The 16,796-nt window shown below is 40.5% G+C and overlaps 1 protein-coding gene across 56 annotated transcripts in view; it reads right to left on the bottom strand.

Annotated features, from left to right (window-relative positions):
* The window catches only part of FGGY (FGGY carbohydrate kinase domain containing), a 466,353-nt gene that overhangs the window by 51,209 nt on the left and 398,348 nt on the right, over positions 1-16,796 (bottom strand). The window contains exons 16-17 of one of the 56 annotated variants that reach the window (NR_103473.2): positions 13,782-13,874; positions 12,128-12,837 (exon numbers count right to left, since the gene is read on the bottom strand). The exons of the other annotated variants lie outside the window; for them this stretch is intronic. The gene's annotated coding sequence lies outside the window, so the exon portion shown is untranslated. Of the gene's footprint in view, positions 1-12,127; positions 12,838-13,781; positions 13,875-16,796 lie in introns of those variants that run through there. 56 annotated transcript variants of the gene reach the window in all.

Here is a 16,796-nt window from a genome sequence, read left to right as displayed (position 1 = left end):
CTCTATCCAGAAAGAGCCCAAGCTGGGCATTAATTGTTTGCAGTCAATTTCTTTCAATTCTTTCTTTGTTGTTGTTTTTTAAATTATACTTTAAGTTCTGGGATACATGTGAAGAACATCCAGGTTTGTTACATAGGTATATATGTGTCATGGTGGTTTGCTGTACCCACCGACCCGTTGTCTACATTAGGTATTTCTCCTAATGCTATCCCTCCCCTTCCCCCGACTGCTTGACAGGCCCCAGTCTGTGATGTTCCCCTCCCTGTGCCCATATGTTCTCATTGTTCAACTACCACTTATGAGTGAGAACATGTGGTGTTTGGTTTTCTGTTCCTGTGTTAGTTTGCTGAGAATGATGGTTTTCAGTTTCATCCATGTCTCTGCGAAGGACATGAACTCATTCTTTTTTATGGCTGCATAGTATTCCATTGTGTATATGTGCCACATTTTCTTTATCCAGTCTAACATTGATGGGCATTTGGGTTGGCTCCAAGTCTTTGCTATTGTCAATAGTACTGCAATAAAAATACATGTGCATTTGTCTTTGTAGTAGAATGATTTATAATCATTTGGGTATATATCTAGTAATGGGATTGCTGGGTCAAATGGTATTTCTAGTTCTAGATCCTTGAGGAATCGCCACACTGTCTTCCACAAAGGTTGAACTAATTTATATTCCCAAAAACAGTGTAAAAGTGTTCCTATTTCTCCATATCCTCTCCAGCATCTGTTGTTTCCTGACTTTAGTGATCACCATTCCAACTGGTGTTGAGACGGTATCTCTGTGGTTTTGATTTGCATTTCTCTAATGAGCAGTGATGATGAACTTTTTTTCATATGTTTGTAGGCCACATAAATGTCTTCTTTTGAAAAGTGTCTGTTCATATTCTTTGCCCACTTTTTGATGGGGTTGCTTTTTTCTTGTAAATTTGTTTAAGTTCTTTGTAAATTCTGGATATTAGCCATTTTTCAGATGGATAGATTGCAAAAATTTTCTCCCCTTCTGTAGGTTGCCTGTTCACTCTGATGATAGTTTCTTTTGCTGTGCAGAAGCTCTTTAGTTTAATTAGATCCCATTTGTCAATTTTGGCTTTTGTTGCCATTGCTTTCGGTGTTTTAGTCATGAAGTCTTTGCCCATGCCTATGTCCTGAATGGTATTGCCTAGGTTTTCTTCTAGGGTTTTTCTGGTTTTAAGTCTTACATTTAAATCTTTAATCCATCTTGAGTTAATTTTTGTATAAGATGTAAGGAAGGGGTCCAGTTTCAGTTTTCTGCATACGGCTAGCCAGTTTTCCCAACACCATTTATTAAATAAGGAATCCTATTTTATCTTTGAATCTGTGTTTTATAGGTGAAAAATTGATGGAACAATGGGGCTAGTCTCCAGGGCCAGTTCTTGGCCATCCACTCCCTGTCTTCTGCTGCCCCATCCCACTGCTGACCACACATCTGTGAGTTGGTGGCAGGGTTACATGGCTAGGGGTGGGGGCATGTTTTGCTCTTGCTCTTCTCCTCATAAAGATGAGCATAGGTGTGGAAAGAGTCAGGCCAGACATTGGGCCCCCTGTGTCTCAGGGTGGGTCAAGGCAGTGACCCCAGCTGGCTACCACTGCCATGGAGTGTCAGGCTGACAACACACAGAGGGGTTCCATGTAGAATTTGGAAAGCCTTGGAAGTCACCTGTCAGCCATAGGTTGAGACAGAAGGCCTGTTGGAAGGAGTGACTTTCCTGTCCCTGGTCAGGGACCTACATTTTCATTTTGCACTGGGTCCCACAAATTGGGGGATATACAAATTGTAGCCAGCCCTGCCTGCAGTGGCCCTCCAGTGACATTTGAGAACTACTGACCTAACTGATAGGTGCTTGCCTCTAAATGTTTCCTCCGCTCCTCTCACTTGCAAGTAGATTCCTTGTGTGATGGCTGTGGCATGCTGACAGCCACTTCATTCTTGGCCTGGACTGGGTGGCTAATTGTCCACCTGTGGGCGGCATTTCATAGTTTGGAAAGCACTCTTCCAGTGTGTGTGTGTGTGTGTGTGTGTGTGTGTGTGTGATATAGTTTCATTCTGTGTCTCCACCTAAATCTCATCTCAAATTGTAATCCCCACGTATTGAGGGAGGGACCTGGTAGGAAGTGATTGGATTATGGGGGTGGTTTCCTCATGCTGTTCTTGTGATAGTGAGAGAATTCTCATGCCAGCTGATGGCTTAAAAGTGGCAGTTTCCTCTGCACTCACTCTTTTTCCTGCTGTCTTGTGAAGAATGTGCCTGCTTCCCCTTTACCTTCCACCATGATTGTAAGTTTCCTGCGGCCTCCCCAGCCATGTGGAACTGTGAGTCAATTAAACTTGTTTTGTTTATAAACTACCCAGTCTCAGGTAGTATCTTTATAGCAGTGTGAAAATGGACTAATACAGAGTGAGGACGTGTATGCGCGCGCGCGTGTGTGTGTATGTGTGTGTATGAACACATATATTCATCTCACTTTCTCTTACTTGGCAAACTTGAAACAGCTTAAACAGGTTTAGTTTAAAAGGTTGAGCCCTTATCCAAAATTCTAGGAATCAGAAGTATTTTTAATTTTGGATTTTTGAATGTTTGTATTAAATAATTACTGGTTGAGCATCCCTAATCCAAAATCCAAAACTGGAAATGCTCCAATGAGCATTTCCTTTGAGCATGACATTTGGGTGTCATATCAGTGCTCAAAAAGTTTCAGATTTTGGAGCATGTTGGATTTAGATTTTCAAATTAGCGCTGCTCAACCTGTACTTTGGATTTTTCAGACAAATCTAGGTACAGGTCCCAACTCTCTCCCTTTCTGATTCCATGGCTTTGAGAACGTGAATTACCTTTCTAGAAATCTAGTTCCTCATTTGCAAATGAAGATAATAATATCTACCCACCTCACATAACCTCCTTTAAAGATTAAGTCTGGTTATATAATTAGAGTTCAGCATGTATCAGGTGATCAATTACTATTTGTCCCTTTCCTCTTTCTCACCTGCACCTTAGAGATTGAGAATTGACACTTGGGTAGGCAATGTCTTAACCAAGGAGACCCACTTAATAGGGGCCGAGCCTGGTATTCCCCTGGTCTAGGGTCCCTTTCATTGTTCAAAAGGCAGCCCAGTTGAAGTAGGGAAAAGCTCTGAAATAGGTAAACAGCAGTAACTCTGGAAATCTGGGAGTCTGATTCTTAGGGAATGAAAATTGAGCACATTAGACTGGTTAGTTCTGACAGATGAGGAAAAAAAAAATGAAATGGGAGGAAAAGAATAGATGGGAAAGGTAGAAAGCACCAAGGGCAAACATAACCTCCTTCCCATTTCTAACACATTGCAGTCCCTCCCTTTAGAGAAGCCCAAAGACTTTTTGTCCCTGTATTGGCTGCATTCACAAGGGCAGAGTCAGACATGTTTTAGACTAAGAAACAGGAGGCCCTGGATTTCATCTCGGATTCTCTCTATATAACCTTAGGACAGTTACCTCCTACTCTGGAACCAAATGTCCCCTTCTTTTAAATGCATTGGACTAGATGACTTGTTAAAGTCCCTTCTAGCTTTGATACTTTTTTAAATTAAAGAACAGGTATACAAACATATTCTGTAGCAAGTGGGTAAACACCTATTCAAACAGACTGGGTCCCTTCAAAACAGAGGCTTTGGGAAGGCCTGCTTTGTATGAAGTCCAAGGATGCCGATTCTTTGGGCAAAGCCATTTGTCAAGAGTCCATGATGGCTGATCATCTGCTGATTCTCGTATCTCTATTCACATCCAAGGGGGCTTCATTTGAATGGGCTGTGACTAGACTTCATGAACAGCAACAGACTCAGCCATTTTCATGCATGGTGTTTCAACATTCATCTCCAAACAGAAGGAATACAGTGGGCTGTTGTGACGAGAATTCTGTGGAGAACTATTTATGGCTGTGTTTTGGTTTACCCTCAGCCTAGTACACAGGGTACAGTTGAAAACGGCCTCAGCTGAAAACACTCTCTTGTCTTTCAGGCAAAATTTCCAAATTTTTACATGAAGGCCTGTTAGCTCCGGGCCTACTGCCCCTGTGGCTGCCTACTCTGTTCACCCTGAGAAACACAGTCATCCCTCTCTCCCCCTCCTCCTACAGCTTGGCCTCTGAGTCATTCCCAGCAGAGGCAAGGCATGTATTAAAAGCATATCATTAGGGATTTAGAGTTGGACAGACTTGGGCTCAAATCCCAGTTTTTCTACTTTTTAGCTATCTGACCTTAGGCGAGTCACTTAACCTCTCCAGCTCGCAGTTTCGCTAGGCAAAACTGGAAATAATAGTACCTATCCAACAAAACTGTTTTAAGAGTTAAAATGAGACACACTGCTGCAGATAAATCCTGATGGACATCCTGAGTTGTGTTTCTCTCTCTCCCTCAATCATTTTGGCCTGATCCATAGAAACCAGGCTTTGATCTCAATTTCCCTTCCTTAGATTTGCTTCTCTTTCTTACCTTGTGCTATATCCCCAGAGTTGGAGAGGGCAGGGGGTGCAGCCCTCTGCCTGTGCTGTCATCACTTCTGCCCAGGGACCCCTGACTACAAATAGGAATCTTCCCTTAAATGGACAGGAGATACAGGTAACAATAATAATTAATTTTATTAAGCACTTTCTATGAACCCAATTTATTATTACTCCTTCTTCATCATGAACCTAGAGGTAGGCACCATTGTCAATCTAATTCTACAGATCAGGAAACTGAATGTTGAAGAGGTTAGGTCTAAGGTCACAGGGCTAAGAGTGTGGAGGCCACATTCTACCAGTCTCTTGGCTTTTGAGAATTAGGATAGTCTCTGTATATTCATTCCTGTCTTTTTTGATACTCATCACCACAGTAGCTACCACCTCTTGAGTACCTACAATCATTACACACATTATCCCATTTGACTTGCCCAGCAATTCCATGAAGTAGATATTTTCATACTCATTTTACAAATTAGAGAGCTGAGCTTGGAGTAAGCATATTATCCAAAGTCAATTGGCTGTGAAATGAGAAGCCCAAATTCAGATACCATATATGATTTATTAGTAGCTCCCTGAGTACTGTACTATGTGCCAAGTACTTTATAAATAGTGACCCATGTAACAACTCTGTGAGGTAGATAACATTAGCACTCTCATCTTACAGCCAGGGAAACAGAGGCAGAGAGTAATTAAGAAACTTGCTCCAGGCCTCACAAGTAAAGAGTGGCAGAGCTGGGTTTTAATTCCAGGAAGTCTGGCTCAAGAGGCTGGGCAGTCAGCCTCTAGTGCTGTGTTGCCTTAAGAAGAGAAGGATGCCAGGTTGAGGTGAGGAGAAGAGGAGATGATCTCAAAGGCAGGGGAAATTTATTCCTGTACAGGCAGGAGGCTCAGTGAGTTTACGATCCACAATGCTTGAAGAAAGAACTCTCCACCCACGTAGACAGGAGCTGTTCCCCAGAGCCCTGGCTTCCCTCCTCCTAAAGGGGTCGGCCACTGTGGAGAATTTTCCAGCATTGAGCAATGGTGTAGGTGTTTCGTTTCCTTTAGGCCCACTGAGATGTATCATCAGGAAATTGCCTCAGACTCTCAAGCTAGATATGCCTCCACCATTTGGCTACAAAAATCCTCAGAAGAGATGGAAGTCAATAGTTTTAGATGACCAGTTGCATTCAAAGGTCCAGGGGAAAAAAGGTCTTTAACCAGAAAAGGCAAAAGCAAACATGTATTGAGCAGATACCAAGTGCTGAAACATGGGAAATGTGAAACCTCACAATAGTCATTTGAAGTTGTGATTAGCTCCATTCTACAGAGAAATAAACTAAGGCTCAGAGAAGCAAAGTTATGTCTCAAAGTCAAGTGGTAAGTAGAGGAAGCTGGTTATGATCCAACGCTCAGATGACTTCAGGCTGCATGCTCAGTATCCAGCTTCTTGCAGCATCTCATTTGCCTGTGGCTGATCCCAATGGAGTTTTAGAATTTCCCCATAATTAATGATAAAATTACTAAGAATGTCTTTAACAAACACAGGGACCTGCCAGCCTGGTATGTTCTGATCTCAGCTTTGCCCTTGGTAAAACACTCACCTCCTCAGTCCTTACTGCGCACATAAAAGTCTAAAACTCTTGGGCACATAAAAGTTTACTCTTGGGCACATAAAAGTCTAAAACATTATCAGTCTGAAAAACACAGCTTCAAGTAAAGAAATAGTTTAAAGGGAACATTTCCAAGAAATTCTGATGTCATAAAGAGATTCACAGATAAAAGTTTATGAAGTTTTAAAACTCCGGTACCAGATATTGTAAGCAAAGGTAGATAAGAAGGGACATACTATAAGAATGTCTTCAGTATGTAATGATAGATAAAGAATTGGTATGTAGAGCAGATAAAGAACTCCTCTAAATCAATGAGGAAAGGACAAACAACCCTATAGGAAAATGAAGAAAAGATATTAATAGGCCATTAACAGAAAAGTACTTGATGGGTATAAAGAGAATGTTCATTCTTACTAGTAATGGGGAAAGGCAAAGGAAAAGAACAATGAGCAGTCATTTTCTGCCCGAAAATTGGCAAAAAATATTAAACAACTGACAATATCCAGCATTGGCAAAGGCACAGGGACATCATTGGCAGGAATACGAATTGGGACAGCTTTTTTGGAGGACATTTTGGCCACAGCTAACAAAATTTTAAATGCACAAATCCTTCCACTAGAAATTCCACTTTTTTTTTGTATTTCTCTAAAAGAAGTCCTCATATTTGTATATAAAGAACTACACCAACAATAATCTTTGTGTCTCTGTAACAGCTAAACACTAGAAACTACCTAAAGGTCTATCAACACATTGGTTAAACAGTTTTTTATATATGCAGATTCTGGAATTACTGTCAGCATGTAATAGACATGGGGCAGCTTTATATGTATTAATATATTCCAAAGTATCTTGTAGATAAAAAAAGTTATCTCTTTTTCATCCTCTACTATTTAAACAGTATAGTATTCTATTATACAATCTCTACTATATGATATATATGTGTATATATATGTCTGTGAATACATAAAAAATGTAAGACAGACATACAAAACGCATAATAGTGATTACTTTTGGGATCAGGAGAGGTTTGTGCCTTTTGCTTTTACTCTATATATTCCTACATTGTTCGTGCTTTTACAGAGTAAGTGTATTCCTGTCATTTTTCAATGATCTAAAGAAAAGCAAGTTGGCAACAGAGACAGAAACACTTGCTTTGTGCTCGGGGTTATCTGCTGTTCTCCCAGGATTGAGAAATCCTCTGACCCAGCCCCAGGGCTGGGTCGCTCTTCTGCTGATAGGAATGGTAAGATGCTCAGCTGGAATCCGCCTTTCTCTCATTCTCTTCTCTTTCTGTAAGTGCTCACACATCTGAACATGTGCGCACATATACACATTCCTGTCTAGCGCACATACTCAGAGTAACTACTGCATAGGCTAGTTCAACAGCCTGAGAACTTTTGAATCATGAACCAGAGTGATTCTTGTCATCTTGATAAAACATGTACACAATCACACTCCAATACAACTACAACAAGAATAACAAATTGTCAGGCCCCATAAGCAGAAGACTTGATTTAAACCATAGGGTCCAATGGGCGCACATTGGATGTGAAGTTCCTTAAATAATGGCTCTGCTAGCCTAAAACATATCAGATGTTCCTTTAGCCTTAGCTCACCCAAGACATAAACTATGTGTTCAGGGGAAAGCAAAGTCAAATGACTCATGACAGAGTTTGTTTTTAGTATGAATTATTTTTTCTGGCTCCTTGCTTTTAAAGACAGATCCTTTTCAGATGGGCTAAAGCAAGGACTGCTGGGAGCTGGGCTCACAAGACTAGCCTTCCTATTCTTCTGCAAGTTAGAAGTAGATGCCCAGGGAAGGAGAGCTTATTTCCCATTATGCTGACTTCCATCATGCACTGCTGCTTCTTTGTCCTTTCAAAACTGTGCAATGGCAGCCTTGTGGTAGCTGGGTGACATGGTGGAAAGAACACTGGATTTGGAGTCTGTGAGACTGGAGCTCCAATTCCAACTTTGCCATTTACTAATTGTGTGATGCTGGGAATGTCACATGACTTTTCTGTTCTGGGATGCACTTTCCTGGAAGATGAAATGGGTATAATGAGTATTGCAATGGATTGTGGTGGGGGCTTAATGATTTAACCTTAGTGCCTGGCACATGGAAGGCACTCAGTAAATAGCACTGGACAAAACCCCTCAGCACAGAGATGGTATCCTATTTACCCCTGTATCCCTTGTGCTTGTTGGAGAACAAGGCAGAAAATACCTGAGGAAGAAAGGCAACAATGAAGGGCTGCAGGAATAATTATGACAAATAGTATTAAACTATTTTTCATGTGCCAGGTACTGTTCTGGCTGCTTTACATGTATCTCATTAATTTTTACGAATAACCCTCTGAGCAGAGGCTCCCTACGTGGAGTATAAGAAAAGGCAACATCAGGAATAGCCAAATTCTCAGATCACTTTAGAATAACAGATAAAAGTGGGGAAGGAGAATAGCAGCAGTGTGTCCAACATAGGTGGTTAACAGCCAGAACCCTCCCAAGTGTATGGCAGATTAGGACAGCTTCTTAAGGTACTCTGGAGGATTGAGTGCCCCAGGACAAAGCTGTCATCCAGGGACCATGAGGAAGCTGCCCAGCTGGTGTCCATACACATTCAATACCTCTCCCTCCTCAGCAGGTATAACTAAGATGAACACAAAATTCTAGAGCTGATAGAGACTAAATTTAGACATTGCCTGGCATAGTTCCACTTTACGGGTTTGAAGATGGCTAGTTGCTCAATGTCACACAAGAGAGTAGTACAGCAAAGACTAGAATCTAGTCCCTACTTTCCAAGCCAGCTCTCCACCTCTGGCATCTAGACCACATTAACAGCCTCTCTCTCTTCTATGAACACCCTTGACATTTTAACTTATTTTTTTCACTCATTTGTTTACCCCATAGTTCTCATCTAAGCAATGTTCAGGATAAAGATGAATATTGGCCATCAGCTATATGCAGTTCCATTGATAAAGCCATCCCTACAATAAGATGAATGCCTAACCTTTTCTCCCAATAAGTCACTGAATAATCTACTTGACAAGCACATTTTTGATAAAGATATAGGTCTCCATATGAGTCTGCCTACATGGAAATAATGGGCAGAATTTGGAATAGTGATTTCTCAGGGTAAATTAATAAAAATGCCTTTTGGCTTTATACCTCTGATATAGTTTGTCTCCCCATCCAAATCTCACCTCGAATTGTAATCCCCGTATGTTGAGGGAGGAACCTGGTGAGAGGTGATTGGATCATGGGGGCTGTTTCCACCATGCTGTTCTCATGGTAGTGAGGGAGTTCTCACGAGAGCTGATGGTTTTAATATGGCAGTTTCCCCTGCTCTCTCTCTCCTACCGCCTTGTAAAGAAGGTGCCTGCTTCCCCTTCACCCTCCACCATGACTGTAAGTCATGCAGAACAGTGAGTCAGTTAAACCTTTTTTTGTTTTTAAACTACTCAGTCTCAGGTAGTATCTTTATAGCAGTGTAAAAACACGCTAATACAATCTCCATTTCATGAGCTGCCTCTGAAAAACTCACTCACTGATTCATTCATTTATACATTCATGTACTCATTCATTCACATTTTCATCCAGTACACAGTTGAGTTCACCTCTGAGTTCATGAATCCTTTGTTCCCAAGGTTTAAAATTCTGCACACATTCTCTCCCATCTCGGGCCCACTACACATGCATACCCCTCTCCAAACACACAGAAACACACACACATACAGACATATACTCGCCTTTATTTATACTTCCAAGTCCTGACTGGACTCAACTGTCACTTCCTTTGGAACATTTTCTCTGCCTCCCCAAAGCTGAGGCATAGCACACTGTATGATGCTATTTTATGGTATGCCTCTTCTGCAATACTGTTGGAAACTTGAGAGCAGGGACTGTATCTTTCTTGCTTGGAATTTTATCCAAGCAGAGATAGATGGGCCTAGTACGAGTGGTTGGCACACAGATGGCACTCAAGAAGCATTTACTGATAAAATGAATGCAAGAAAGAAAAATGACTGAAGAATGATTATGACATAAGCTCTGTCCTCAGTCAATTTCCAGTCTAGTGGAGAGGCAGACATAAAAAAAGAGTCACCAAACTTGTGTGAAGTACGATATCCAAGGTCTGTTCCGTGCTGTGGAGCACTGAGGATGAACTGTGCTGGGATTCCACTTCTGCCTTATGTTCATCTTAACTGACTTTGCAAGATAAAAATGTGTGGGGCTATGGGTATATATGGAAGATACTCAGGGTATAACCTTTCTTAGGCCAATTCTCTTGCACGTGTCCCCCTATCCCCAGCACTCCCAGTGGATGACATCTCAGGATTTTGCAATTCCAAACCATTTCTTTGAATTCAGTGAAACTAGAGTCTGAGACAGAAAACACAAGTGTTGGCAGCAGAGAAAGGAAAGAGAGAGGAGCCCCACAGTATTCTCCTTACTCAACACATTCCAGCCTCCCTGCTTTTTTTGCTTTCCTTCACACATGTTCAATTCATTCCCACTCCAGGGCCTTTGCACTTGCTGTCCTTTCTGTCATTTGGGACTCACCACGAACATCCCTTCCTCAGGAGGGCCTCTCTCCTGCTCACAAAGCCAGCCCTTCACACCCAGTCTGTCATTCCATTTTTGCTCCCTGATATCACTTTGCTTTCTTTTGTAACATTTCTTGTTACCTGAAATCAATATTACTTGTTGTGATTGCTGTTTCTTAGGATCTTCCCAACTGAATGTAAGTTCTATGAGGGCAGGTGTTGCTAGACAAAGCTAGAGGCACTCAGTGAGGAAAGCAGACAGGTATCAGACAGTAAAGGAGACGTGCACACTCCAAAGGGAGGGCAGGCTAATGGGGCTAAGAAAAGTGACACTGACTCCCAAGCAGTTCAAGGAAAAACTAATAACATAAACTCTTATTGCACACGACCTGTGATAAGCTCATGCACTACTTTGTTGAAGTTTCCTTGTTGGAACACAGAAGCATTCTGTGAATGTGGGTAAAAATTGGGATAATAACAGTTCCTGTCCCATGGTGACTGAGTTAATTCATGCAAAGTGGTTAGAACAGTGCTTGGCATATAAAAAACATCAATAAACTTTGCCTATCATCATTGTCACCATCATTATTTACAGAGAGATATGACAGATAGATAATACTCATCTATAAGAATTATATGCATTGCTGTGCACTGTATTTGCTTTTTCTTTTTGAAATGATTCTTAGAATTCCTACAGTGTACAAAGTTAAACATGTGCCACCTATTTTGAACTTAATGTAGTACAAAAACAGTTTTATAAGACTTGTTTGTCAGTTTTTATATAATCGAAGAATTTTAATGTGTTTGTAACAGACACATTTATGATTGCTTTGATCAAGAATTTAAAAGCTTCAAGCCATATAAACATGGAGAAAATGTAAGGGCTCTGAGAAGCTAGAAGAAATAATGATATCAGTGGAGAGAACAAATAGGCTAAAAGTCTCAATGACAACTTTATAAGGGTGAATATGGATATAGAATATTGAACAAGGCAAATAGAAGAATTAGAGATGTGAGAAGCGAGACATTCGCACAGAACAAGTCAAAGCACCACATACAGTCATCACTTCTCTGCAATCAACGCGGGACATGCCTGTTACAAAGGCAAGAACAGCAGGCAAACTGTTGCAAATAAGAACGAGAATTAAACATGTTAATAAATATGATGTTGTTTTATCAATAACTTTAAAAATCTGCTAGAATACTGTATGTTACTCCAAGTTCAGCTAGTTCTTTATTTTTATAAAAACCTCTTTTTATTTACCTCCTTTTTTTGTTTGCATATTGGAAGCCTGGTAAATAGAACTGGAAACCTACCTCGCCCAGGGTACCATTTGCCTTCTTTCTCCATCAGCCCCAATGACCCACAAATACTTTTTCTATCCATGGCAAAAGAGCAGAGGGGTTGTTTTTGAGATTTTAGCAGCCCATGCAATGTTCTCTACAGCCCCTAGGTGTCACTATTGCAAAACTAACAGAAGCCTGAACCGTCAAAAAGAAAAAGTACATTTAATATGAAACACTTTCAATAACTATGCAAAAGGCAGACATCATTTAATACAGAAGCTACAAACAATTTAGTATCTCTAATTGAATTTTTAATTTCCTTTTAAACTCAAAGGCTCACCCCAAGAAGAAGAAAAATATCATTTTTTAGCCAGAAAAAAAATCTCAGAACTGTTCTTTCTCCTAACATTTACACTGAGGGACTCAGCTGAAGCTCACGATACTAAAAGTTTGTGGTATAATTTGTTTTATAATCAAGATTGGTTTGATAGTACAAAAGCTTTCAGAGTAAAAATGTAAGACAGTAAATGAGAGCTGGCTGGAAGGAAAAATGTAGCTATGTTAGTTTGATATTCAACCAAAAGCTATAATCTTATTAAACATATTTAAACATGGTTTTCATTTAGATTTGGCAGCTTGATTAATGGGGATGTATTAAATAATACCTGGCTGCTAGGAGCATATTTAGGAATCAGTGCCACATAAAACATACGACATGTACAATTCAGTTTCATTATTATTTAAGGTTCTCTGTTCTCTTGGCTGTGGGCACACACATATTAAAAATTAAGTACACGCACTCAATGTATGCGCTGCGCTTTTAAAGGGCTTTCTCTTTAAGCAGAAAGATGAAATGGAAAACGAACTCAACTCTGGTGAAAGGTAATGGATTCATCCCTTTGGGGACAGCTGTCCTGTTTATCAAAAGAAAGGGGAGAGGTGGGTCAGAAGCAAGAAAAAAAAATTCCCAAGTGGTCAGCAAAGAGAGACGCCCAACTTCAGAGGGGAGCTGAAATCAGTTTCTACACCCAGGCTTCCTTCTTTGTCACAGTTGAGAGGTCGAATGAATGGTATGTTTAACCATGAGGCCATGGGGGAATTGAGATGCTGATTCCCAGAGCATTATAGAAACACTTTGGTAATGGGGGTGTGGGGGTTGGAGGGGAGTGTGAAGAAGCATCTGTAGTTTTTCTGGGCATAATGCTAGGTACTGACCAAGGGGTGGGAACTGCGGGGTGGGCATGGTTCTGACTAGCTGGGAAGATAGAAAAGTATGAAGTAAAGGACCAAGTATCATAATAGAGTTCTACTCAGTGTTTTTGATGAGAAAAAAATGATACATATGACATGCAGAACCTTATCAATAAATTATCTTTCTCCCCTTTCAAATGACATGAGGTTCCCTAATAATCTTTGGGCTGGAACAAGACATCTCAGAGAGGCCAAAATGTCATATATCACATTACATTTCTAAACAACCCAATGGGACAGGGAAAAGTACTATTAATATTTTAACTTTGGAAACTATGTTTAAATCCAGAAAAAATACAGAAAGCATCTCATCAATCAGAAGGAAAAAAAAGACATGCTTTTTTGATAAAAGTATTATTATCTCTATGTACAGATTACAGAACTGAGGCTCAGAGAGTTCAATCACGTTACCCAAGATCACATATTTAGTAAGTTTCAGAGGTAGGACTGGAACCCAAGCTTGTCTTATTTGAAAACCCACTTTTAAAATCTTCAACTCTCATTGCTTCTCTGATTGACTGAAGCCTTGGGCAGAAGAAACAAAGAAAATAGGGGGTGATGTGGAGGGGCACAGCATGCAATTCTGTTTACCTCTTGTGTCACCTACTTGCAAAAGACTGGAAGAAGAGAGTCTGATTTCTTCTCAAATACTGCTTCCCATTGCTGCTATCGTCCACAACTGAGCTATCTATTTCCCCCACTGGAAAGAAGTCACAAAAATGTTAAGCACGCCAAAGTCTTCACAGCGACGATGGTTATAATCAGCAGATCACAGAGAACAAGCTATGTTGCATTAAGAATACAACCAAGAAGGAAGGAAATTCTGATACGTGCTACAGCATGGATAAACCTTGAGAACATTATGCTAAATGCAATTAGCCAGTCAACAAAAGACAAATGCTGTATGATTCCACTTATATGAGGTATCTAAAGAGTAGTTAAATTCACAGAGACAGAAAGTAGAATGGTGGTTGCTAGGGGTTGGGGGAGGGGGCAATGCAGAGTTATTGTTTAACGGGTAAAGTTTCAGTTTTGCAAGATGAAAAGAGTTCCGGAGATGGATGGTGGTGATGGTTGCACAATAATGTGAATGAACTTAATACCACCAAACCGTACACTTAAAAATGGTTAAGATGATAAATTTTATGTTATGTGTATTACAAACAAACAAAAGAATACAACCAGGACCACCTCCTCCAATGGTGATTTACAATTATGTACAATGTTCTCTTGCCTGGCACAATATGAAGCATGACCTTCAACATTTTCAAATTTTTTGAAGTAAAGGTATTTTTGTGGTATTTCCTCGCCACTTTTCTGGAAAGCAGTACATCTGGAGGTAAAGGGTTTTTTTTTTTCATGTAATTTTACATTTGCGTGTTTCATATGGATGCTTGTCCTGGTTTGATCAGCAACGAGCTCTCTGGCCATGCACAAAGCACTTCCCGTTTCTGGGTCTCAACTTCCTCATCTGTAAAAAGAGGGTTTGTGTGGGATGATCTCTAAGGGCCCTTCCAGTTCTCAGTTCAGATTCCTATTTTTCCAAATGCTAATAGTGTCTACACTCTTAGGTACACATTGCTTACTATTAACACTCATCAGATCCTTTTTGCGAGCCACTCGTCATTTCAGAAATACCTGCACTTGCTGCACTTTTCCTGGGGGCTAGACAGAGAGATGAAGGACACAGTGTGAGGTAGGTAGACAGAAAGAAAACAATTGAAAGGCCTCTTGGAAGGAGCACTGGACTGGGAGTCTGATGCTATGAGGTTTAGTCCTGGGCCCCCGCCACTTGCTCACCATGTGAATCAGGGAGGAAGAAAGCATTTACTGGGGCCTTTTATGCATGAGGCACTTTTATACATATTATCGTACTATTTCACACATTTTAGTAATTCAGGTCCTATCTTCACAATTATTTTCTTTTCTCAAGTACTACCTATAGTATTGATTAGTCATAAAATATTTCTTTAAGTCCTGGGAAAAAAACTTTTCTTTCTTTTTAAAATTTTCTAGGGAAAAATGTTCATGAAAACCCAGGTTTAATGCTAGGTACTTTTCTAGTATCTATTAAAACTTAGAAAAAGGGTGTCTATAAACCAGGACGTAGAATGCCTGAATGTCACTGGTGGTATGTCTGTACATTTTGGAAGATGACACTTGATCTTATTTTATCTCCATTTTTGGCTGCTGGTGCCCATGGAATTCAGCAACTCATCCAATTTTGAACCAGCAGAACTCACAGCAATGTGCTGGTTCATATTTCTCTCACTTTTAGAAGGAATATGTTCTAGAAAGTTGCATACACAGAACTTCCATGATTTTTAGATTTCATAGATGGCAACACTTCCAAAATGACTTGGGAGACTGACATATGGTTAGAAAGTTTTTATTTTGCTAAGAAGAAGCTCAAAGTTTTCTCTGACAAGTAATATATAAAAAAAAAACCCACAGGACTTTCTACATCAAATGGTTGGGAGGGGGACATCTCAGGATAATATGTCATTTAAGAAGAAAAAAATTAGCTTAAGGAAGAACTCATGACATTCTGCTTACTCTTCCGTATTTCTGACTAGTAAAAACCCTGTTATGGACCAGCCACGGTCCAGGCCCAGCACTGGTTGACCACAGTGTAATGGGCTTTGGAATCAGGCAGATCTGAAAGTCCTGGTTTTGTACTAACTACATGTACAGGGTTGGGAAACCACTTATCTCCCATGAGCCTCAACTTCTCATTTGTAAACTGAGGATACTGCTCATTGCCGTCAAGATTATATGCAATAAATTTGTAAGATGCCTAGCACAGTGCCTGACTCATTGAGTAGGAACTCATTAGGTCGTAATGACCACTTAGTAACTTTTACCACTCTCATTGCATCTACCAAGAAAGGTTGTCATGAGGATACAACATGGAATGCATGGGCGAGTGTGTTGCAAGCTCCTATGTGTCCTACAGCTGTAACTCCTCCTTTGGGTCTCCACTTAGAAGTTATTTTCCCTGGGAAACTCTCCTTGACCCACCAGGTTAGGTAAGAAGCCGCTGCTCCCGGTGTCATGGCACCTGTCCTCTCCATCTTTTCACTTGTCATTGCAATAAAATTAGTGGGCAACTTTTCCCTCTCCCCAGTAGGCCCACCAGAACTCTGAGAGGGTAGAGAATATACTAGTCTTGCTTGTCATTGTTTCTCCACCATCTAGCACATAGTCACTGCCACATATAGAACTCTTTTAATTTGTTAAATAGATACATGAATTGATGGAAGGATTAGTAGGAGTTTTCAAACCTGTTTTGTGGTACTATGCTTAAGGCTTGATTGTCTTGGCTATGGGCTTACATCAACATTTCCCAATTTTGGTACTTGAAACTTTAGCAAAGTAAGATGCTCCATGAAAAACTAATTCTTCGATCAAGTAAATTTGGGAAACACCATACTCTCTATGCCTATCCAACCTGGGAGATTCACAATGCATGTTTACATTTTAAAGTCTTAACAGATGCCTTGCTATGAAGACGCCTAGTTAGAGCTGGGTACTGTGAAGTACATCCATAGTCCCAGCTACCTGGAAAACTGAGGAGGGAGGATTTCTTGGGCACAGAATTAGAGTCCAGCCTGGGCAACAC

Source organism: Homo sapiens, chromosome 1 (assembly GCF_000001405.40).
Source record: "Homo sapiens chromosome 1, GRCh38.p14 Primary Assembly".
Classification (NCBI taxonomy): Eukaryota; Metazoa; Chordata; class Mammalia; order Primates; family Hominidae; genus Homo; species Homo sapiens.
The sequence above is the reverse complement of the archived record's forward strand: the minus strand, read 5'-3'. Positions and strand labels throughout refer to the sequence as shown.